The sequence below is a fragment of the Homo sapiens genome, chromosome 9 (genome assembly GCF_000001405.40).
Source record: "Homo sapiens chromosome 9, GRCh38.p14 Primary Assembly".
In the NCBI taxonomy this organism is placed as follows: domain Eukaryota; kingdom Metazoa; phylum Chordata; class Mammalia; order Primates; family Hominidae; genus Homo; species Homo sapiens.
In genome coordinates, this window is record NC_000009.12 from 36567889 (window position 1) to 36589799 (window position 21911).

The 21911-nt window shown below is 44.9% G+C and overlaps 1 protein-coding gene across 53 annotated transcripts in view, besides 3 other annotated features; it reads left to right on the plus strand.

Moving 5' to 3' along the window:
• Positions 3726 to 4225: an enhancer, noted in NCBI's record as "H3K4me1 hESC enhancer chr9:36571611-36572110 (GRCh37/hg19 assembly coordinates)". NCBI's record gives its function as "activates a minimal SCP1, AML or CMV promoter by ChIP-STARR-seq in naive H9 embryonic stem cells {active_cell/tissue: H9 hESC(naive)}" and the evidence as "EXISTENCE:reporter gene assay evidence [ECO:0000049][PMID:30033119]".
• Positions 4809 to 5088: a silencer, noted in NCBI's record as "silent region_19896". NCBI's record gives its function as "represses an Ori minimal core promoter by ATAC-STARR-seq in GM12878 lymphoblastoid cells {active_cell/tissue: GM12878}" and the evidence as "EXISTENCE:reporter gene assay evidence [ECO:0000049][PMID:35858748]".
• The window catches only part of MELK (maternal embryonic leucine zipper kinase), a 104788-nt gene continuing 87883 nt past the window's right edge, over positions 5007 to 21911 (plus strand). For 9 of the 53 annotated variants that reach the window (NM_014791.4, NM_001256685.2, XM_011518080.1 and 6 more), the window contains exons 1-4: positions 5007 to 5119; positions 13756 to 13851; positions 15739 to 15824; positions 21648 to 21764. In NM_014791.4, coding sequence (NP_055606.1) covers positions 13794 to 13851; positions 15739 to 15824; positions 21648 to 21764 — 261 coding nt within the window. In that variant the 5' untranslated portion in view covers positions 5007 to 5119; positions 13756 to 13793. Of the gene's footprint in view, positions 5311 to 12184; positions 12984 to 13755; positions 13852 to 15738; positions 15825 to 21647; positions 21765 to 21911 lie in introns of all 53 variants that reach the window. The other 44 variants (NR_046337.2, NM_001256689.2, XM_047424181.1 and 41 more) reach the window with 8 other exon arrangements.
• Positions 16936 to 17912: an enhancer, noted in NCBI's record as "H3K4me1 hESC enhancer chr9:36584821-36585797 (GRCh37/hg19 assembly coordinates)". NCBI's record gives its function as "activates a minimal SCP1, AML or CMV promoter by ChIP-STARR-seq in naive H9 embryonic stem cells {active_cell/tissue: H9 hESC(naive)}" and the evidence as "EXISTENCE:reporter gene assay evidence [ECO:0000049][PMID:30033119]".

Below are 21911 nucleotides of genomic sequence, written 5' to 3' on the forward strand. Positions count from 1 at the left end.
AAACCCAGGTGGTGGAGGTTGCAGTGAGCCAACATTGTGCCACTGCACTCCAGCCTGGGTGACACAGTGAGACTCCATCTCAAAAACAAAACAAAACAAAACAAAAAAAACAAAGAGATGTTAAGAAGTTACATCCCGGCCAGGCATGGTGGCTCATGCCTGTAATCCCAGCACTTTGGGAGGCTGAGATGGGCAGATCACGAGGTCAGAAGTTCTAGACCAGCCTGGCCAATATGGTGAAACCCTATCCCTACTAAAAATACAAAAATTAGCCGCATGGTGGCGCACGCCTTTAGTCCCACCTACTTGGGAGGCTGAGGCAGAAGAATCACTTGAACTGGGGAGGCGGACGTTGCAGTGAGCCCACAGCACTCCAGCCTGGGTGACAGAGCAAGACTCCATCTCGAAAAAAGGAAAAAAAAAAAAAAAAGGATGTTACATCCCAAATGGCCTGACCTACCCAGTCAGGCCATTTTTTTTTTTCTTTTGAGATGGAGTTTTGCTCTTTTTGTCCAGGCTGGAGTGCAATGGCGCGATCTTGGGTCACCGCAACTTCTGCCTCCTGGGTTCAAGTGATTCTCCTGCCTCAGCTTCCCAAGTAGCTAGGATTACAGGCATGCGCCACCATGCCTGGCTAATTTTGTATTTTTAGTAGAGATGGGGTTTCACCGTGTTGGTCAGGCTGGTCTTGACGCCTAACCTCGTGATCCGCCCACCTCTGTCTCCCAAAGTGCTGGGATTACAGGCGTGAGCCTGCACAGCGGACCAGAGATCTTGATGCTCTTCTTGTAACTGTTTTAGGGTACCATGAACTATACCCGTAATTAGACTGCAAACTTAATTGATAAATATTGTGTGTGTTCTGACTGCTTCACTGGCTGATTGTTCCCCGTCTCTTTCCCTCTCCTCAGGCGTTCCTATTCCCTGAGACACAACAATGTTGAAATTAAGCCAATTAATAACCCTACAATGGCCTCTAAGTGTTCAAGTGAAAGGAAGAGTCACACATCTGTCACTTGAAATAAAAATCTAGAAATGATTAAGCTTAGTGAGGAAGGCATGTCCAAAGCTGATAGGCTGAAAGGGAGGCCTCTTGTGCCAAATAATTAGCCAAATTGTGAATGCAAAGGAAAAGTTCTTGAAGAAAATTAAAAGTGCTACTCCACTGAACACATGAGTGATAAGAATGCGAAACAGCCTTACTGCTGATAGATAGTAGTCTGGATAGAAGATCAAACCAGACACAAAATTCCTTGAGCCAAAGCCTAATCCAAAGCAAGGCCACAATTCTCCTCAATTCTGTGAAGGCTAGGAGAGGTGAGGAAACTGCAGAAGAAAATTTGGAAGCTAGCAGAGGTCGGTTCATGAGATTTAAGGTAAGAAGCTGTAGGCTGGGTGCAGTGGCTCACGCCTGTACTCCCAGCACTTTGGGAGGCCGAGGCGGGCAGATCAACTGAGGTCAGGAGTTTGAGACCAGCCCAACCAACATGGAGAAACATCGTCTCTACTAAAAATACAAAATTAGCTGGGCGTGGTGGTGCATGCCTGTAATCCCAGCTACTTGGGAGGCTGAGGCAGGAGAATCACTTGAACCTGGGAGGGCGAGTTTGCGGCGAGTTTGCGGCGAGCCGAGATGGCGCCATTGCACTCCAGCCTGGGCAACAAGAGCGAAACTCCGTCTCAAAAAAAGAAAAAAAGTTGTCTCTGTAATATAAACGTGCGCAGTGAAGCAGCAAGTGCGGATGTAGAAGCTGCAGCAAGTTATACAGAAGATTTGGCTAAGATCATTGATGCAGGTGGCTCCACTGAATAACAAATTTTCAATGTAGAGGAAATAGTTCTAGGTTGGAAGAGGAGCCATCTAGAACTTTCTTAGCTAAAGAGAAGAAGTCAATGCCTAGCTTCAAATCTTCAAAGGACAGGTTGACTCTCTTGTTAGGAGCTAACGCAGCTGGTGACTTGGAGTTGAAGCCAGTGTGCATTTGCCAGTCTGAAAATCCCGGAGCCCTTATGAATTATGCTGAATCTACTCTGCCTATGCTCTATAAATGGAACAACAAAGCCTAGATGACAGTATAACTGTTTATACTAGGGTTTACTGAATATCTTTTTTGTTTGTTTGTTTGTTTTTTTGAGGCAGGGTCTCACTCTGCCACCCATGCTGGAATGCGGTGACGTAATTATAGCTTACAGTAACCTCGAACTCTTGGGCTCCAGTGATCCTCCTGCCTCAGTCTCCTGAAGAGCTGGTATTACCAGCATATGCCGCCACAGCTGGCTAAGGTTTACTGCATACCTTAAGCCCACTTTTGAGACCTACTTCTAAGAAAAAAAGATTCCTTTCAAAATATTAATGCTCATTGATAATGCCCCTAGTCACCCACGAGCTCTGATGGAGATGTACAAGGAAATGAATGTTGTTTGGATGTCTGCTAACATAACATCCATTCTGTAGGCCATAGATCAAGGAATGATTTTGACTGTCAAGTCATTTTATTTACAAAATACATTTTGTGAGGTTACAGATGCCATAGATAGTGATTTTATGCTGGATCTGGGCAAAGTAAAATGGAAGCCTTCTGGAAAGAATTAACTCTTCTAGATGTCATTAAGAACATTTATGGCCGGGCACGGTGGCTCACGCCTGTAATCCCAGCACTTTGGGAGGCCAAGGCAGGCGGATCATGAGGTCAGGAGATCAAGACCATCCTGGCTAACATGGTGAAACCCCATCTCTACTAAAAATACAAAAAAATTAGCCGGGCATGGTGGTGGGCGCCTGTAGTCCCAGCTACTCAGGAGGCTGAGGCAGGAGAATGGCGTGAACCCAGGAGGCGGAGCTTGCAGTGAGCCGAGACCACGCCACTGCACTCCAGCCTGGGTGACAGAGTGAGACTCCATCTCCAAAAAAAAAAAAAAGAACATTTATGATTAATGGGAAGAGGTCACCATATCAACATTAACAGGAGTTGGGAAGAAATTAATTCCAACCCTCATGGATGACTTTGAGGGGTTCAAGACTTCACTCGTGGAAGTAACTGCAGATTTGGTGGAAACAGCAAGAGAACTAGAATTGGAAGTGAAGCCTGAATATGTGACTGAACTGCTGCAATCTCATGATCCAACTTGAATAGATGGGGAGTTTCTTCTTACGGATGAGCAAAGAGAGAGTGCTTTCTTGAGATGGAAGCTCCTCTTGGTGAAGATGCTGTGATCATTGCTGAAATAACAACAAAAGATTTAGAATATTCCATAAACTTTGTTGATAAGGCAGTGGCAAGATTTCAGAGAACTAACTTTGAAGGAAGTCCTGCTGTGGATGAAATGGTATCACACAGCATCACATGCTACAGAGAAATCTTTCATGAAAGGAAGTGTCCATCGATGCAGCATTGTTGTTTTATTTTAGGAAATTGCCACAGCCATCCCAACGTTTAGCAACCACCACCCTGATCAATCAGCAGCATGGAGGCAAGACCCTCCACCAGCAAAAAGATTATGATTTGCTGAAGATTCAGATGACCATGTTAAATTAAGTTTAGCATAAAGCTGCCTCCTTATGCATTTTAAGTTCAGACTAACAATTTATTTCTTTCTCTCTCTCCCTTTCTCTCCCTTCCTTTCCTTTCCCTTCCCTTCCCTTCCCCTCCCTTCCCCTCCCTTCCCCTTCCCTTCCCCTTCTCTTCCTTTCTTTCTTTTCTCTCTCTCTTTCTCTCTTTCTCTTTTTTTGAGACGGAGTCTTGCTCTGTTGCCCAGCCTGGAGTGCAGTGGCACGATCTCTACTCACTGCAACCTCTGCCTCCCAGCAGAGAGAATCAAGAGATTCTCCTGCCTCTACCTCCTGAGTAGCTGGGATTATAGGCTCGCGCCACCAAGCCCGGCTAATTTTTTGTATTTTTAGTAGAGACAGGGTTTCATCATGTTGGTCAGGCTGGTCTCGAACTCCTGACCCCAAATGATCTGCCCCCGCCCCCCCACCAAAGTGCTGGGATTATAGATGTGAGCCTTTGCACCTGGCCTAACAGTTTCTCCATACATAGTGAATTGTAGACAACTACAATTGTAAATGTGTAAAGAGACTGTAACCTTGTAACAAGTAGCGAGTCTCAGTCAATCACAGCAGCGGAGTTTTGGCCAATCACAGGTGGCCAACTGTTTAAACAGTGCTCAAAATAGTCAGAGGTTGAGTTGCAACCAATCCAGCTGTTTCCATACTTGACTGCAATTTCTGTAAGTCATTTTCCTTTTTCTGTCCATAAATGTTATTTGAACATATGGCAGCCCGAATCACTCTGAACCTATTTTGGTTCCAGGGATTACTGGATTTTGGACTCATTCTTTGGTCAATTCAACTCTGTAAAGTTTAATTTGTCTAAAGATTTTCTGGGCCGGATACAGTGGCTCACGCCTGTAATCCCAGCACTTTGGGAGGCTGAGGCGGGAGGATCGCTTGAGCCCAGGAGTTCGAGACCAGCCTGGCCAACATAGCGAGATCCCGTCTCTACCCACAAATAATTTAGCCAGGCGTGGTGGCGCGTGCCTGTAGTCTCAGCTACTGGGGTTCTTATTCCTCGTGGCAACACATTTTGGAGAGGGGGAGGTATTCCTGTCTTTGCTGGGTGGGAGAACGGCCAGTGGGCAAGGGAGGACGAAAATGAGAACTGTGACTGCCAGAGGGCACGTCAATTTTAGGAAGAGAACGTAAGAAAGTTGGGTTCTGTGGAGACTTGGCATATCCACGCCACCTGGAAAATCATCACGTGCCCTCCGGGGCAAGACCAAGGCCTCAAGTCACCCCTCGCAGCCCAGTGGACCTCCCGGCCATCCCTTTCACGGCTCCACAGCGACCGCGAGCCGTTGCCCCGGTGAGAACCCCCCGGCACTGTGCGCGCCCCCGCCTGCCGTGCGCGTCCGCTTCCCTGGGATCCGGCGCCGCGCGCGCCCCCGCCGCGTCCCCGCCCCTTCCGGCCCGGGAGATTTGATTCCCTTGGCGGGCGGAAGCGGCCACAACCCGGCGATCGAAAAGATTCTTAGGAACGCCGTACCAGCCGCGTCTCTCAGGACAGCAGGCCCCTGTCCTTCTGTCGGGCGCCGCTCAGCCGTGCCCTCCGCCCCTCAGGTCAGTTCTCCCGCCTGCCCGCCGCAGTCGCAGTTGATGGCTGGGGTCTGGGCTGTGCGGGGCGCAGCGGCCCAAACCCAGTTTGCTCCTGGCTCTCGGGAGACTGGAGGATTTCATCGGAGCCCCGCGCTTTACCAGCCCTGTTCCCTGGATAAGATATTTGACCTTTCCGACCCGCGGTTTTCTTCTCCGTAAGTGGGGATAATGACCGTGTCTACTTAACAGGGTTATTGAAGAGGTGTTCAGGCTAAGCGTTTGCCACCTAGGAGGCTGCGATAGACGTGAATTCCCATTTCCCGTTTCCAGTTTCCGTGACTCTTCCCCGCGAAAAAAGTTGACAGAAGGGTTTCGAGTTTTTTCTGTTTGTACAACTCAGTTTACTGGGGCAGTGCAATAAAAAAGGAGATGTGTTATCACTACCTTTTCAGAGTCCAAATCCATCCTCTCCTATCATCTCCCCAGAGTAGTGGCTTCAGAGGCTCACACTAAAAGGGGAATTTTTTTTCTTTTTCTTCAAGACGGAGTTTCGCTCTTGTTGCCCAGGCTGGAGTGCAATGGCGCGATCTCGGCTCACCGCAACCTCCGCCTCCCAAGTTCAAGCGATTCTTCTGCCTCAGCCTCCCGAGTAGCTGAGCTTACAGACATCCGCCACCACGCCCGGCTCATTTTTTGTATTTTTAGTAGAGACGGGGTTTCACCACGTTGGCCAGGCTGGTCTCCAGCTCGTGTCCTCAGGTGATCCGCCCGCCTTGGCCTCCCAGAGTGCTGGGATTACAGGCGTGAGCCACCACGCCCGGCCTAAAAGGGGAATTTTCACCGAATGCTGTATCAGTAATAGGAGCAGCAGGATTGCTCCCACCAAGAAACCTGGTGTAGGGTTGTGGGAGCTGGAAAGGGTAGACTCAGGGAAGGCTGCCCAAGAGAGGAATCAGGTCCCTAGCACTTAGGACGGGTAATTACCTTTGGTATTTCTCCTTTGTTAGTGGAATGAGGTGAGTATCAGGAGCCTGGATTGTTGTTTAGAGGCCAGTGTTCCTAACTTTGGTTTAAATTTTGGTTTCTGTTTCCCATGGAGTCTGGCTAGAAAATCAGAAAAATCAGAAAAGCCCTTACTGGGCCTTCGTGGGCTTGTTTCTCCCAAGGGTCTGTCCTTTCTGTGTAACTACTGTGGACCAACTAGATGGGCAGATCAATCCCAATGAGTGCCTCATTGTTGGTGCTCCCAGAAGCCTTTGCAAGGGAGCAGGGCAGGATGCTAATTAAATGTGTTACAGGCCACATTATAAACCATTCTGAGCCCGGCGTGGTGGCTCACGCTTGTAATCCCAGCACTTGGGGAGGCCGAGGTGGGCGGATCACTTGAGGCCAGGAGTTCTAGACCAGCCTGGCCAACATGGCGAAACCCCGTCTCTACTAAAAATACAAAAAAAAAAAAAAAAAAAAAAATTAACCGGGCATGGTGGCGCATGCCTGTAATCCCAGCAACTGGGGAGGCTGAGGCACGAGCATCTCTGGAACCCAGGAGGCGGAGGTTGCGGTGAGCCGAGATCTAGCTACTGCACTCCAGCCTAGGTGACAGAACGAGACCCTGTCTCAAGCAAATAAACAGACAAAACCCAAAAAACCATTCTGTATTCTACTTCCTGTTTGAAATTATCCTCAGCATCAGTGTCTTTCCAAGCTCTGTAGATAAGGTAAATGTATTTATGCGGCAAGTAATAGAATAGCCCAAATAATATTGTTAAAAAATGCCCCCAATTTGTTGCTATCCTTTAAAATTTAACCATAAACGTCTTCTCATTATCCCAATTCCTTGCTCTTCTGAGAAGTTAAAGACCCCAATTATAGGCCGGGCGCGGTGGCTCACGCCTGTAATCCCAGCACTTTGGGAGGCCGAGGCAGATGGATTGTGAGGTCAGGAGTTCAAGACCAGCCTGGCCAAGATGGTGAAACCCCATCTTTACTAAAAATACAAAAAATTAGCCGGGCGTGGTGGCGCACACCTGTAATCCCAGCTACTTGGGAGGCTGAGGCAGAATTGCTTGAACTCAGAGGGCGGAGGTTGCAGTGAGCCGAGATTACGCCACTGCACTCCAGCCTGGGCAAGAGAGCAAGACTCCGTCTCAAAAACAAAAACAAAAACAAAACCCAATTATATATACCCCCAATTCTTCTATTTATTTAGTCAAGCCCAGAAGGGCACTCAGGTGTCTGATTGGGGTCTAATTTCCTTCTTCATTATTCACAGTTGAGAGGCTGTCTTCCGCGTTGACTGATAATATACCTCCTTCAGCAGCTACAAAGTTGGGTTACTCTGTTCTCAAGGCTTTTCTGTATTCTATATTAACAAACTCTAGAGGATAAACAGGGCACATGAGAATATTTAGAACCAGCTCCACATTCACAAAGATTTACAAATCAAGTATAATCTGCTATTAGTGTAGGAGTTTGTAATGTAAGCACCAGTTTTCTCACATTGCAGCAACAACGATATTCCCTTGATTCAGTAGCTATAATCTAGGCCCACATTGGTATTACTCATCCAAAGACATGATGTAATTTGAGAGAAGCGGGTAGATAGAGAAAATGGAAGAAAGAAAGAAAAAAAAAAGTGCATGGCTTCAGTCTTACCTTAGTTGTTAAATAAACAACTTGCCCATCTCTGCTAGTTTTCCAGAGGCCATGACTGGGATGTTTATAACTCTTTTGGGAGAAGTCTATTAAGTTAATTATGACACTCTTAAATCCCTAATCTGGGAAGTGAATTCCAGCATCTTACAAATTGCTTTCTCTTTCTGAGTGACAATTTGAAATAGCCCAGTCCTTTGCATGGAATGTAAACATGTGCATTCAGATTTATAGTCCAGTGTTCCTCCATTTCCATTCTCCTGCTCTCTTTTTTCTTCTGTATCAGGATTCCAAAGATTTCTGAGCCTTAGGTTGACCTCTATACTTTTACTGTTTTTATTGCCTTTTGGAATTTCTTAGTCCTATGGTTCCTGTTTGTTTTTAGGATGAGGTTCCAGTTTATCCCCACATTTGCCCCACTGACAAATGCCCTTTAAAATATTTCTGAATTAGTGTTGCTGTTTAAAGTATTTAATCCTGTGCCTTCAGGTGCCCAGTGAGAATAAATTTGTCCTCTGTGATATCTCCTTGCCTTGAGTAACTTTTTCTACTCCAGTGGAAGCAGAATGTTTCATTTTCTATCAACAGTTTTCCCTCAGTACTGGGACCTGACCTTGCTTCTTCTAATGTTTGCCTACTGTGTTCATGCAGATTTCGTTAGGTTAAATGTTCAACCTACTTATTAAGTTGGGTCCAGTGTGATCTCTTCCTAGGAAATGGCTTAATATTGTTTATTTTATCAGAATGTCGTTTTGCATGTTATCTTTTTGTGTGCTATTTCTGCTTTGATGTTGAAGACTGAACCTTGTTTTTTAAAGCTGATTTAATTTTTTTCTTGAGTGTCGATATTTTTCCTTCTAAAGCTTCTGCTCTAGTTTTCTATTCATTGACCAAATTTTTTTTGTTTGTTTTTGAGCTGGAGTCTCACTCCTGTCGTGCAGGCCAGAGTGCAGTGGCGTGATCGCGGGTCACTGCAACCTCCACCTCCTGGGTTCAAGCGATTCTCCTTCCTCAGCCTCCCTAGCAGCTGGGATTACAGGTGTGCATCACCACGCCCGGCTAATTTTTGTATTTTTAGTAGAGACGGGGTTTCTGCATGTTGGTCAGGCTGGTCTCGAACTCCTGACCTCAGGTGATCCACCTGCCTTGGCCTACCAAAGTGCTAGGATTACAGGCGGGAGCCATTGTGCCCAGCCGTTTTTTACTTGCTGATAATAATTTTCTTTTTCTCTCCAAGTAAAATGATTCATGGAATCAGTGTTTCAGGCATAGAAAAATGATATTTTTAAAATGTCCTTTGTGGCTTTTGGGGTTTTGATAAGTTCATTCAGAATTTTTTCCACCTCAATTTTAAGAAGACTACTCATCATTGTATGAAGGGCCTTCTCTTATTAAGCTCTGTCTTCCTTTATAAGCTCACCACACTTCTGAGGTTGAACTCACACTCTAGGTCTTCCAAATTCATGGCCATTATTAAGGCTTAGTAACATGCTAGTCACTCAGTTCTGGATAAGGGCAGGGTGAAGAACAGAGAATTTGAAGGTAGTTTACGTGGCACCTGCCACTCATCAGTTTGAGGCTTAAACAGGCTTGCTTGGCCAGGGCGATGGCTCACGCCTGTAATCCCAGCACTTTGGGAGGCCAAGGAGGGTGGATCACCTGAGGTCAGGAGTCTGAGACCAGCCTGGCCAACATGGCGAAACCCCATCCCTACTAAAAATACAAAAATTAGCCGGGTATGGTGTTGTTGTTCGCCTGTAGTCCCAGCTACTTGGGAGGCTGAGGCAGGAAAATAGCTTGAACCTGGGAGGCGCAGGTTGCAGTGAGCTGAGATCGCACTACTGCACTGCAGCCTGGGCACCAGAGCAAGACTCCATCTCAAACAAACAAACAAACTAGCCAGGAGTGGTGGCATGTGACTCCTGGCCTCAAGTGATCCACCCACCTCAGCCTGCCAAAGTGCTGGGATTACAGGCGTGAGCCACTGCACCTGGCCTCGACTAGATTTTAATTTTTAATTTTTATTTATTTTTTTGAGACACAGCTTCGCTTGTTACCCAGGCTGGAGTGCAGTGGCATGATCTCGGCTCACCGCAACCTCTGCTTCCCGGGTTCAAGTGATTCTCCTGCCTCAGCCTCCCTAGTAGCTGGGATTACAGGCATGGGCCACCACGCCTGGCTAATTTTTTATATTTTTAGTAGAGACGGGGTTTCTCCATGTTGGTCAGGCTGGTCTTGAACTCCCGACCTCAGGTGATCCGCCTGCCTCAGCCTCCCAAAGTGCCGGGATTACAAGTGTGAGCCACTGCGCCTGGCTGTTTTTTATTTTTAGTAGAGACAAGGTCTTGCTATATTGTCCTGGCTTGTCTTGAACTCCAGGCCTCAAGCAATCCTCCTGCCTTGACCTCCCAAATTGCTGGGATTACAGACATGAGCCACCATGCCCAGCTATCTTTACGCTTCTTCCTTTTGCCACTCCTAGCTGTAGGTTTGGTATGGGGAAGACCTTAGCTATCTATGTTTTCAACATTTCAAATATTTGTCTTTTGCTTTTAAGTCTTTACAACTGTTACTGATTTTGTATGGTGTGAGATAGAGATCCAATGTGTTTTTTTTTTTCCTTCACCTCATGGCTAATCAATTGTCCCAGCTCCAGAGCTGCATTTCCATCACCTGTTACCTCTAAAAGCAGCCTCAGTTCAGTACCTGTCAACTTTTACTTCCTCTAGGATCTTTGCACCTAAATTCCCTCTTTCTGGAATATTCTCCGTCTATTTCTTTGTGGGCTATGACTGTTAAGGCCTACAGACCAAAGACCACATCTGTAGTAAAAATCATTAGATGTATTTAGTTTGCTGCGCAAGAGAAACCATACTCTTGAGAATTTTGGGTAGTCTCAGAGTGAGTTGAAAGGGGCAGAATGAGGGAAGAATGAGGTGGGCCTGAGGATGTCATTGAAGACAATGAAGTCAGTCAAATAAAGGATCTTTATTTTAACAGCCTTGTATGGAAACATTGTTTATATGGTTATGTTCAGATTCTATTGAAACCATTGTTCAAGTTTTGATAGGAATATCACAGTCTGATTACTGGCAGGGCTGATTTTCTCAATTCTCATCCTTTGAATTAGAGCTTGGCTTAAATGTTACCTTCTCAGAAACCACTGTTGCTTATTTTTATTTCAGTATTTAGTATAGATAATAATAATAGTAATTATTATTTTTTGAGACAGAATCTTGCTTTGTCTCCCAGGCTGGAGTGCAGTGGCACGATCTTGGCTCACTGCAACCTCTGCCTCCTGGGTTCAAGCAATTCTCCTGCCTCAGCCTCCCGAGTAGCTGGGATTGCAGGCGCACACCACAAGGCCTGGCTAATTTATTTATATATTTATTTATTTATTTATTTTTGTGAGATGGAATTTCGCTCTTGTTGCCCAGGCTGGAGTGCAGTGGCACGATCTCGGCTCACTGCAACCTCCGTCTCCTGGGTTCAAGCAGTTCTCCTGCCTCAGCCTCCCGAGTAGCTGGGATTAGAGGCATGTGGCACCACACCTGGCTAATTTTGTATTTTTAGTAGAGACGGGGTTTCACCATGTTGGTCAGGCTGGTCTCGAACTCCCGACCTCAGGTGATCTGCCCGTCTTGGCCTCCCAAAGTGCTGGGATTACAGGCATGAGCCACCGCGCCCAGCCTAATTTTTATATTTTTTAGTAGAGACCGGGTTTTACTATGTTGGCCAGGCTGGTCCCGAACTCCTGACCTCGTGATCCGCCCACCCTGGCCTCCCAAAGTGCTGGGATTATAGGCGTGAGCCTCTGCACCCGGCCTATAAATTATAAGTATTAATTTGTTGTCTACTTATTTGCCTTTTGTCTTCTCCACTAGAATATACACTCCATGAGGGCAGAATCATATTTCTTCTCCATTATAGCCCTAGTGCCAAGGGCAGGTTTGGCATATCATAGGTGCTCAGTAAATATCTGTATGAATAAATGAATAAGAGCAAATTCAAGAGTTTTCTAGAACTGCATTAGCAGTTTTTCCAGACACACTGCTGATCTCTAAAAGTCAACCACGAGGTTATTTTCCACAAGTAAGATGGAGATGGTATGAGTGTGACTTTGTATATTAATGTGCATAACAGGGCCCTACTTAGCTCTATGGTTTTTAAAAAATAAACTACTTAATTTTAAAACTCAGGGAGACAAAATCAATAAGATCTACCTAATTTTTTTTACAACTAATTTTTATTTATTATTTGATGTATAATTAACAGTATATGTAACCCACATAAGTTGTGAAGCATAATAATAAAATACATATCATATACATAATAAAATTGTGTATGACTGGGGTCTTAGTTTGGGTTTTCCTGATGACTACTGATAATTTTTTCATGTCTTCTTTTTTTTTTTTTTTTTTTTTTATTTTGAGACAGAATCTCGCTCCGTTGCCCAGGCTGGAGTGCAGTGGCGTGATCTCGGCTCACTGCAACCTCTGCCTCCTGCCTCAGCCTCCCAAGTAGGTGGAACTACAGGCGCGTGCCACCACCCCTGGCTAATTTTTTATAGCTTTAGCAGAGACAGGGTTTTATGATGTTAGCCACAATGGTCTCCATTTCCTGACCTTGTGATCCACCCGCCTCGGCCTCCCAAAGTGTGGGGGTTACAGGCGTGAGCCACCGCACCCGGCCTTTTTTTTTGAGACGGAGTTTCACTCTTGTTGCCCGGGCTGGAGTGCAATGGCACAATCTCAGCTTACTGCAACCTCCGCCTCCCAGGTTCAAGTGATTCTCCTGTCTCACCCTCCCAAGTAGCTGGGATTACAGGCTCCTGCCACCATGCCTGGCTAATTTGTGTATTTTTAGTAGAGACGGGTTTCGTCATGTTGGTCAGGCTGGTCTCGAACCCTGACCTCAGGTGATCTACCCTCCTCAGCCTCCCAAAGTGCTGGGATTACAGGTGTGAGCCACCTTGCCCAGCTTCGTGTCTTTTTTTTTTAAATTATTTTTTCTTCAGGTAGCCTCCCGAGCCAGAGTAGGCTCAGAGACACCCTTTTCCATGTTTTTGTTGGCCATTTGTGTTTCTTTGAGAAATTTTTTTTTTTTTTTTTGAGACAAAGTCTGGCTGTTTCGCCCAGGCTAGAGTGCAATGGCACGATGTCGGCTCACTGCAACCTCCACCTCCCGGGTTCAAGCGATTCTCCTGCATCAGCCTCCCAAGTAGCTGGGATTACAGGTGAATGCCACCCCGCTTGGCTAATGTTTTGTATCTTTAGTAGAGATGGGGTTTCACCATGTTGGCCAGGCTGGTCTCGAACTCATGATCTCGTGATCTGCCTGCCTTGGCCTCCCAAAGTGCTGGGATTACAGGCGTAAGCCACCATGCCCGGCTGAGAAAAGTTTTTTGTATCATTTGCTTATTTTGCTGTTGAGTTTTTCTTATTGTTTTGTCAGAGTTTATGTGTTTCCTGTGTACATCCACTATTATATTTGTTGCAAGTATCTTCTCACATTTATGGTTTTCTTTTTTTGATGGTGTCTTTGGTTGTATAGAAGTGCTTAGTTTTATTTTTATTTTTTTTATAGATGTGGTCTTGCTATGTTGCCCAGGCTGGCCTCGAACTCCTGGGCTCAAGCTGTCCTCCCAAGTGGCTGACAACACACGCACCACTGTGCCCAGCTGAAGTTCTTAATTTTAATGTTGTTTAATATATTAATTTTTTTCATTATTATTATTAGTACTTTATTTAAGTGATCCTCTCCTATCCTGAAATAATGACAATATTCTTTAAAAAGTTTTAAAGGTTTATGTTTCATACTTTTTAAGTCTATCTGGAATTCATTTTTATGTATGGTGTGAGATAAGAATCCTTTTTTTCATATGGCCAATAATCAGTTTTTTCAGTATCATGTAAATGCATAAGACTTATTTAGATTTGCAGTTACAAGAATGGAGGAGATGATCCGGTATTATTTCCTTTATTGATTATGTACTCTCTGTCTTCTAGGTTCTTTTTCTAATTCCAAATAAACTTGCAAGAGGACTATGAAAGATTATGATGAACTTCTCAAATATTATGAATTACATGAAACTATTGGGACAGGTAATTGTTATTTTTTTTTGGAGGCAGTGGATAGATCAACTATTTGAGAGTATAGATTATTTGGGTAGGTGTGAGCTTTTTCGTCTAACCCACACAGTTTTAAAATTCTTCTACCTACTTCAGTAAGAAAAAGTGGAGCAAGCAGAGAGGAGAATAGTAGGAGAAGCCCTGTAGGTTATTGCAAGGACTTTGACTTTTATTCTAAATAATTTATTCTAAATATTTCTTTTATTTCTTTTTTTTTTTGAGACGGAGTCTCACTCTGTCGCCCAGGCTGGATGGAGTGCAGTGGCGCGATCTTGGCTCACTGCAAGCTCTGCCTCCCGGGTTCACGCCATTCTCCTGCCTCAGCCTCCCAAGTAGCTGGGACTACAGGCGCTCGCCATGCCTGGCTAATTTTTTGTATTTTTAGTAGAGACGGGGTTTCACCGTGTTAATCAGGATGGTCTCGATCTCCTGACCTCGTGATCCACCCGCCTCGGCCTCCCAAAGTGCTGGGATTACAGGCATGAGCCACCGCGCCCAGGCTTCTTTTATTTCTTGACTTTTATTCTAAATTAAAGTCATTGGAGAGTTTTGAGTTAAGGGGTAATTTGACCTTTGTTTTTACAGAGTTGCTGTGGCTGCTTGGTAGATAAAAGGTTGGATGAAGGAGGGCAAGAGCAGAGGCAGGGAGATGTTAGCAGACTATTGCGATAATTCAGGTGTTGATGCTAGAGATGATGGTGGTGTGGATGAGGGTGATGTAAAAGCAGTGAAAGGGGTGGGACATTTTACACACACATATGTACACACCTATGTGTGTATGTTTTTATTAAGGTATAACATATAGTAAAATATGCAAAGTGCAATAATCTCAGTGGAGTTTTACACATATATATGTATACACATACCCATATATTCCCTGTGCGGATCAAGACATAGACCGTTTCCAGGGAGTATCTGCCTGCTTTCCCCCAAGGTAGCCATTGATATATTTTGAGGACAGAGCTAATGGGATTTATTGATGGGTTGGAGTGCTAGAGAAAGAGAAGGGCTAAGGATGGTTCCAGGGTTTTTGGCCTGAGCACCAGGGAAAATGGAGTTGCCCTTTGTTGAAAGGAAGAAGACCATGGGAGAGACTACTAGGAAGTTCTTTTTGGAAATGTTAATTTGGGGATTTCTTTTAGCTGCCTGAGTGGAGACATTTGTCCAGCTTTTGGTTCAGTTTTGAAAAATAATTGCTTATCTTCAAAGTTTTTTTTTTTTTTTGGAGATGGAGTCTTGCTCTGTCGCCCAGGCTGGAGTGCAGTGGTGCGATCTCGGGTCACTGCAAGCTCCACCTCCTGGGTTCATGCCATTCTCCTGCCTCAGCCTCCCGAGTAGCTGGGACTACAGGTGCCCGCCACCATGCCAGGCTAATTTTTTGCATTTTTAGTAGAGACGGAGTTTCACTGTGTTAGCCAGGATGGTCTCGATCTCCTGACCTTGTGATCCGCCCGCCTCGGTCTCCCAAAGTGCTGGGATTACAGGCGTGAGCCACCGCGCCCGGCCTCAAATATTTAAAACTGAGTGGAAGTTTCATATAATTTGTCTTTGGCCTCAGCAACTTTATATTGTGTTCTAGCAGTGTTAATTATAAAGGAAATTTAATTGCAGGATTATTCATAAAGCAGATTTCTAAAGTGAGTTCTGTTTTTTTTTTATTACAAAGTTTGAGATACACTATCATGGTTAAAAAAAAAAAAACCTTCAGCTAGACATTGGATAACAAGCAGCAACAGGAAAAAAAAGCCACAAACTTCTAGGAAAATTTGGCTTGATAGAGTCTTTTAAAATTATTATATATAAAAAGGTGTTTGTGCCTGAGTCCTTGCTTATGCTTTCATAATACATTTTCCTACTTAGGTGGCTTTGCAAAGGTCAAACTTGCCTGCCATATCCTTACTGGAGAGATGGTAGCTATAAAAATCATGGATAAAAACACACTAGGGGTAAGTTTAGATTTATTTAAAAAATAGTCCACTTATAGATCAGTTTCGTGAATTAAAACCTGAATTGTTCTAATGTTCTAGTTACTGCTCTTAGAATAATATTTTTATACCTTTTAAAAAACGTATAGATCTGTGGTTTTAAAAAGTAATCTGGGGGAAGGGATTACTTTGTTCTTCAGATTTTAACGCAGTGCAGTGGGACATATTTGAAGTCTGTAGCATCCATCTGCAGTCTGTAGTCTGTAGGTGTTTCTGGATATTAATGTGTCCCATCTTTCTTTTCTTTTCTTTATTATTTTTTATTTTTTTTTGAGACGGAGTCTCGCTCTGTCGCCCAGGCTGGAGTACAGTGGCGCGATCTCGGCTCACTGCAAGCTCCGCCTCCCGGGTTCACGCCATTCTCCTGCCTCAGCCTCCCGAGTTGCTGGGACTACAGGCGCCCGCCACTACGCCCGGCTAATTTTTTGTATTTTTAGTAGAGACGGGGTTTCATCGTGTTAGCCAGGATGGTCTCAATCTCCTGACCCCGTGATCTGCCCGCCTCGGCCTCCCAAAGTGCTGGGATTACAGTCGTGAGCCACCGCGCCCGGCCTCTTTTCTTTTCTTTACTTTTTTTTTTTTTTGAGACGGAGTTTTGCTCTGTCGCACAGGCTGGAGTGCAGTGGCGCGATCTTGGCTCACGGCGACCTCCGCCTCCCAGGTTCACGCCATTCTCCTGCCTCAGCCTCCTGAGTAGCTGGGACTACAGGTGCCCGCCACCATGCCTGGCTAATTTTTTTGTATTTTTTTTTTTTTTTTTTTTAGTAGGGATGGGATTTCACTATGTTAGCCAGGATGGTCTCGATCTCCAGACCTCGTGAACCGCGTGCCTCGACCTCCCAAAGTGCTGGGATTACAGGCGTGAGGCACCGCGCCCGGCCCCATCTTTATTTTCTTATGATACTCTTACTAAATATAAATCATTTTGGTACTATAGATAGGCAAATAGATAAATATTATGTCCTAGCTTTTTTTTTTTTTTTTTTGAGACAGTCTCACTTTGTTGCCCAGGCTGGAGTGCAGTTGCACAATCACAGCTCACTGCAGCCTGTACCTGCTGGGCTTAAGTGATCCTCCCACCTCAGCCTCCTGAGTGGGTGTGACCAGAGGCACATGCCACTATGCTTGCCTAATTTTTAAACATTTTTCTAGAAACAAGGTCTTACTCTGTTGCCCAGGGTGGTCTCAAACTCCTGGCCTCAAGCAGTCTTCCCATCTCAGCTTCCCAAAGTACAGGGTATGTAGGGGTGAGCCACTGTACTTGGCCTGTCCCAGCATTTTATTCAAAATGGCTTTAGAAGTTATCTAATTAAATCCTTTTCCAAATCAGCCTCTTTTTCCTCTATGTGAATTCTTCCAGGGGGAACAGCTTGTTATCTCCTAAAGCAGCCCATTCAGTTTGTGGTCTTGGCTACAATGTATAAAAAGTTATTTTTATGTTGAGATAAAGCCTGTCTCTTTTGGTGGTTTTTCTGGGGCTTCTGTACCCATTCCAGTGTTTGAAGTCACCTTGAGTCATCTTTTTTTTCTAATTCCTTCTACCATTCTTTGTTTTTTTTTTTTTTTTTTTTTTTGAGATGGAGTCTTGCTCTGTCACCAGGCTGGAATGCAGTGGTGCGATCTCGGCTCACTGCGACCTCTGCCTCCTGGGTTCAAATGATTCTCCTGCCTCAGCCACCTGAGTAGCTGGTACTACAGGCGTGTGCCACCATGTCCAGCTAATTTTTGTATTTTCAGTAGAGACAGGATTTCATCATGTTGGTCAGGCTGGTCTCGAACTCCTGACCTCAAGTGATGCACCCACCTCGGCCTCCTAAAGTGCTGGGATTACAGGTGTGAGCTACCACTCCCAGCCTAACATTTTGTAATTGTCCTTAATTATCAAACATAAAAAATAATTTTTGGTTGGGTGTGGTGGCTCATCCCTGTAATTCCAGCACTTTGGGAAGCTGAGGCCAGAGGATTGCTTGAGGCCAGGAGTTCGAGACTAGCCTGGGCAATATGGCAAGTCTTGTCCCTACAAAAAATAAAAAAAATTTAGCCAGGTGTGGTTGTGCATGCCTGTAGTCCCAGCTACTTGGGAGGTGGTGGTGGGAGGGTCCCTTGAGCCTAGGAGGTTGAGGCTACAGTGAGCTGTGATTGCACCACTGCACTCTAGCCTGGGCAACAGAGCAAGATCTTGTCTAAAAAAAGTTTTTTTTTGATGTTTTTATTGTTGGAATGAGATAGGGCTTAATATTAATTGTTACCTACTTTTTTAATTGTTAAAGATATAAGTTCTGATTAACACATAAATAAGTCAAAGGGAGCCAGGCACTGTGGCTCACACCTGTAATCCCAGAACTTTGGGAGAACAAGGTGGGTGGATTGCCTGAGCTCAGGAGTTTGAGACCAGCCTGGGCAACAAGGTGAAAGCCCTTCTCTACGAAAAATACAAAAAATTTCGCTGGACATGGTGGTACACACCTGTAGTCCCAGCTACTTGCGGGGCTGAGGTGGGAAGATCACTTGAGTCTGGGAGGTTGGGCTGCAGTGAGCCGAGATGGTGCCGCTGCACTCCAGACTGGATGACAGAACAAGACCCTGTCTCCAGAAAAAAAAAAAAAAAGTCAAAGAGTATGTAAGTAGTTTTGTTACAGCAATGTCATTAAATCATTTGAATTTCTTCCTAAATATATGCTAAAATCATACAATGACCAGTATAAGAAATTATTTTTAATTATCTGTCAGTGGACAATTCAGGCTTTCCTCCAGTTTTTTTGTTTTATTCAATTTTTTGTTTTCTATTTATTAATCTAAGAAAAAAGCATTAAAACCATTTTTCTTGAGCATTTAAACATGAGTATCAATTAGATTAATTCCCTTAAGCAGTTTAAATTTCAGTTATAACTTTAGTATGACTTACTTTAACACTTCAAATACTTAAATAGCAAACAAAATGTTATTACAAAATGTGTTATCACACTGATGCTCAAAACTTATTCTAAAGCGTAATATGACATTAATTCATGATTTCTAAACTTGTTTTTATATTTTCTGTTGTTATTATGCTCATTTTAGTTATTTTCTAGGATTTTAATAATATTTTGATTACTTCCATGGTTTTATTTATTTATTTATTTATTTTTGAGATGGAGTCTTGCTCTGTCACCCAGGCTGGAGTGCAGTGGCACGATCTCGGCTCACTGCAAGCTCTGCCTCCCAGGTTCACGCCATTCTCCTGCCTCAGCCTCCAGAGTAGCTGGGACCACCACGCCCAGCTAATTTTTTTGTATTTTTAGTAGAGACGGGTTTTCACCGTGTTAGCCAGGATGGTCTCGATCTCCTGACCTCTTGGTCCGTCTGCCTCAGCCTCTCAAAGTGCTGGGATTACAGGTGTGAGCCACCACGCCTGGCCGATTACTTCCATGGTTTTAGTCATCAGGCTTCCTCCCCACAAAGAAAGAAGATTATCATACCAAGATAGTGAAAGTTACAGTTGATTCTTTGTCAAGACATGATATCTAGTTGCATAGTCCTGGATAACTGGGTCCTGAGACACTGGCCATTAAGACGGAGTCCCTTTTTATTTTATTTGTTTTTCAAGATGGAGTCTTGCTTTGTCACCCAGGCTGGAGTGCAGGGGTGTGATCTCAGCTCACTGCAACCTCTGCCTCCTGGGTTCGAGCAATTCTCCTGCCTCAGCCTCCCATGTAGTTGGGATTACAGGTGCCTGCCACCATGCCTGGCTAATTTTTGTATTTTTAGTAGAGACGGGATTTTACCATTTTGGCCAGGCTTGTCTTGAACTCCTGACCTCGTGATCCGCCTGCCTCGGCCTCCCAAAGTGCTGGGATTACAGGCATGAGCCACTGTAGAGCCCCCCCGCCTTTTTTTTTCTGATACGGAGTTTCGCTCTTGTTGCCCAGGCTGGAGTGCAATGGCAACCTCCGCCTCCTGGGTTCAAGCGATTCTCCTGCCTCAGCCTCCTGAGTAGCTGGGATTACAGGCATGTGCCACCACGCCCAGCTAATTTTGTATTTTTTTTTTTTTTAATTTTTTCGATACAGAGTCTCGCTGTGTCCCCAGGCTGGAGTGCAGTGGCACGATCTCGGCCACTCCCAGGTTCAAGTGATTCTCCTTGCTTCAGCCTTTCAAGTAGCTGGGATTACAGGCACCCGCCACCATGCCTGGCTAATTTTTTCGTGTGTGTTTTTATTAGAGATGGGTTTTCACCATGTTGGCCAGGCTGATCTTGAACTCCTGACCTCGCGATCTGCCCGCCTCAGCCTCTCAAAAGTGCTGCAATTACAGGTGTGAGCCACCACACCCAATCAGAGTCCTTTTTTTTTTGAGATGGAGTTTTGCTCTTGTTTCCCAGGCTGGATCGATCTCGGCTCACCGCAACTTCCACCTCCAGGGTTCAAGCAATTCTCCTGCCTCAGCCTCCAGAGTAGCTGGGATTACAGACATGCGCCACCATGCCCGGCTAATTTTGTATTTTTAATTTTGTGTTTTTAGTAGAGACGGGCTTTCTCCATGTTGGCCAGGATGGTCCTGAACTCCTGACCTCAGTTGATCTGCCCACCTTGGCCTCCCAAAGTGCTGGGATTACAGGCATGAGCCACCGCGCCTGGCCCAGAGTCCCTCCCTTTTTTTTTTTTTTGAGACGGAGTTTCGCTCTTGTTGCCCAGGCTGGAGTGCAGTGGCATGATCTCGGCTCACCGCAACCTCCACCTCCTGGGTTCAAGCAATTCTCCTGCCTCAGCCTCCCGAGTAGCTGGGATTACAGCCATGCGGCACCATGCCTGGCTAATTTTATATTTTTAGTAGAGATGGGGTTTCTCCATGTTGGTCAGGCTGGTCTCAAAGTCCCAACCTCAGGTAGTCCGCCCACCTTAGCCTCCCAAAGTGCTGGGATTATACGCGTGATCCACTGCGCCCTGCCTCAGGGTCCCTTTTTATAATGAAGTTTTACTTGTTACTTGATGATATCTCTAGGCTTCTGTCCTTTAAAGTTTTTTCAGCTTGGCTTATCTTCCTCTCCCCACCCAACTTTTTATTTTGAAAGTTTCAAGACCTCAGAAAAGATTGGAGACTGAGACAGTGAATACCCATATACCTTTCACCTAAGTTCACTGGTTTTTTGCTCAGCATGCTTCTTAAACGGTGTTGCTGAGGCTGAAAGTGGTAGCTCAGGCATGATGACTGAGTAGTGTTTCTGTCATTTTCCTTGTTTGGAATGCTAACCTTCTAAGGAGTCTGAGATTGTTTTCTGGATGTTGTACTGTTGACCCACATTGAACCTGTCTTTCATAAAATCTCCAATGCCCTTTTTATGCACATGCAAATAAATTTTGCTATATTTTTCTGTAGTGTTGAACAGTTTTTGGGGGGCTTTTTGATAGCTTTTGCTACTTAGTATTTTTTTTTTTTGAAACAGAGTCTTGCTCTGTTGCCCAGGCGGGAGTGCAGTGGCGCAATCTCGGCTCACTCCAAGCTCCGCCTCCCGGATTCACGCCATTCTCCTGCCTCAGCCTGCTGAGTAGCTGGGACTACAGGCTCCTGCCACCACGCCCGGCTAATTTTTTTGTAGTTTTAGTGAGACAGGGTTTCATCGTGTTAGCCAGGATGGTCTCGATTTCCTGACCTCATGATCCGCCCGCCTCGGCCTCCCAAAGTGCGGGATTACAGGTGTGAGCCACCGTGCCCGGCCAGCTACTTAGTATTAAAGCTGTTAGTATTGGAGCTTGGAACACCACCTGAATAAGTTTATTGCTCATTCCATATGATGTTTTGTCACAGAGTGATTTGCCCCGGATCAAAACGGAGATTGAGGCCTTGAAGAACCTGAGACATCAGCATATATGTCAACTCTACCATGTGCTAGAGACAGCCAACAAAATATTCATGGTTCTTGAGGTTAGTAGTATGTTCCAGATACCTGAAAACATTTGATCACTTTATCAATAGTAAAAGAGAAAAGTACATTTCACCTGAAAGATTAGAAGAGATGTTAAGCGACTTACCTGTTTTGTTCCATTTGTAACAATTTAGATTAAATAGATG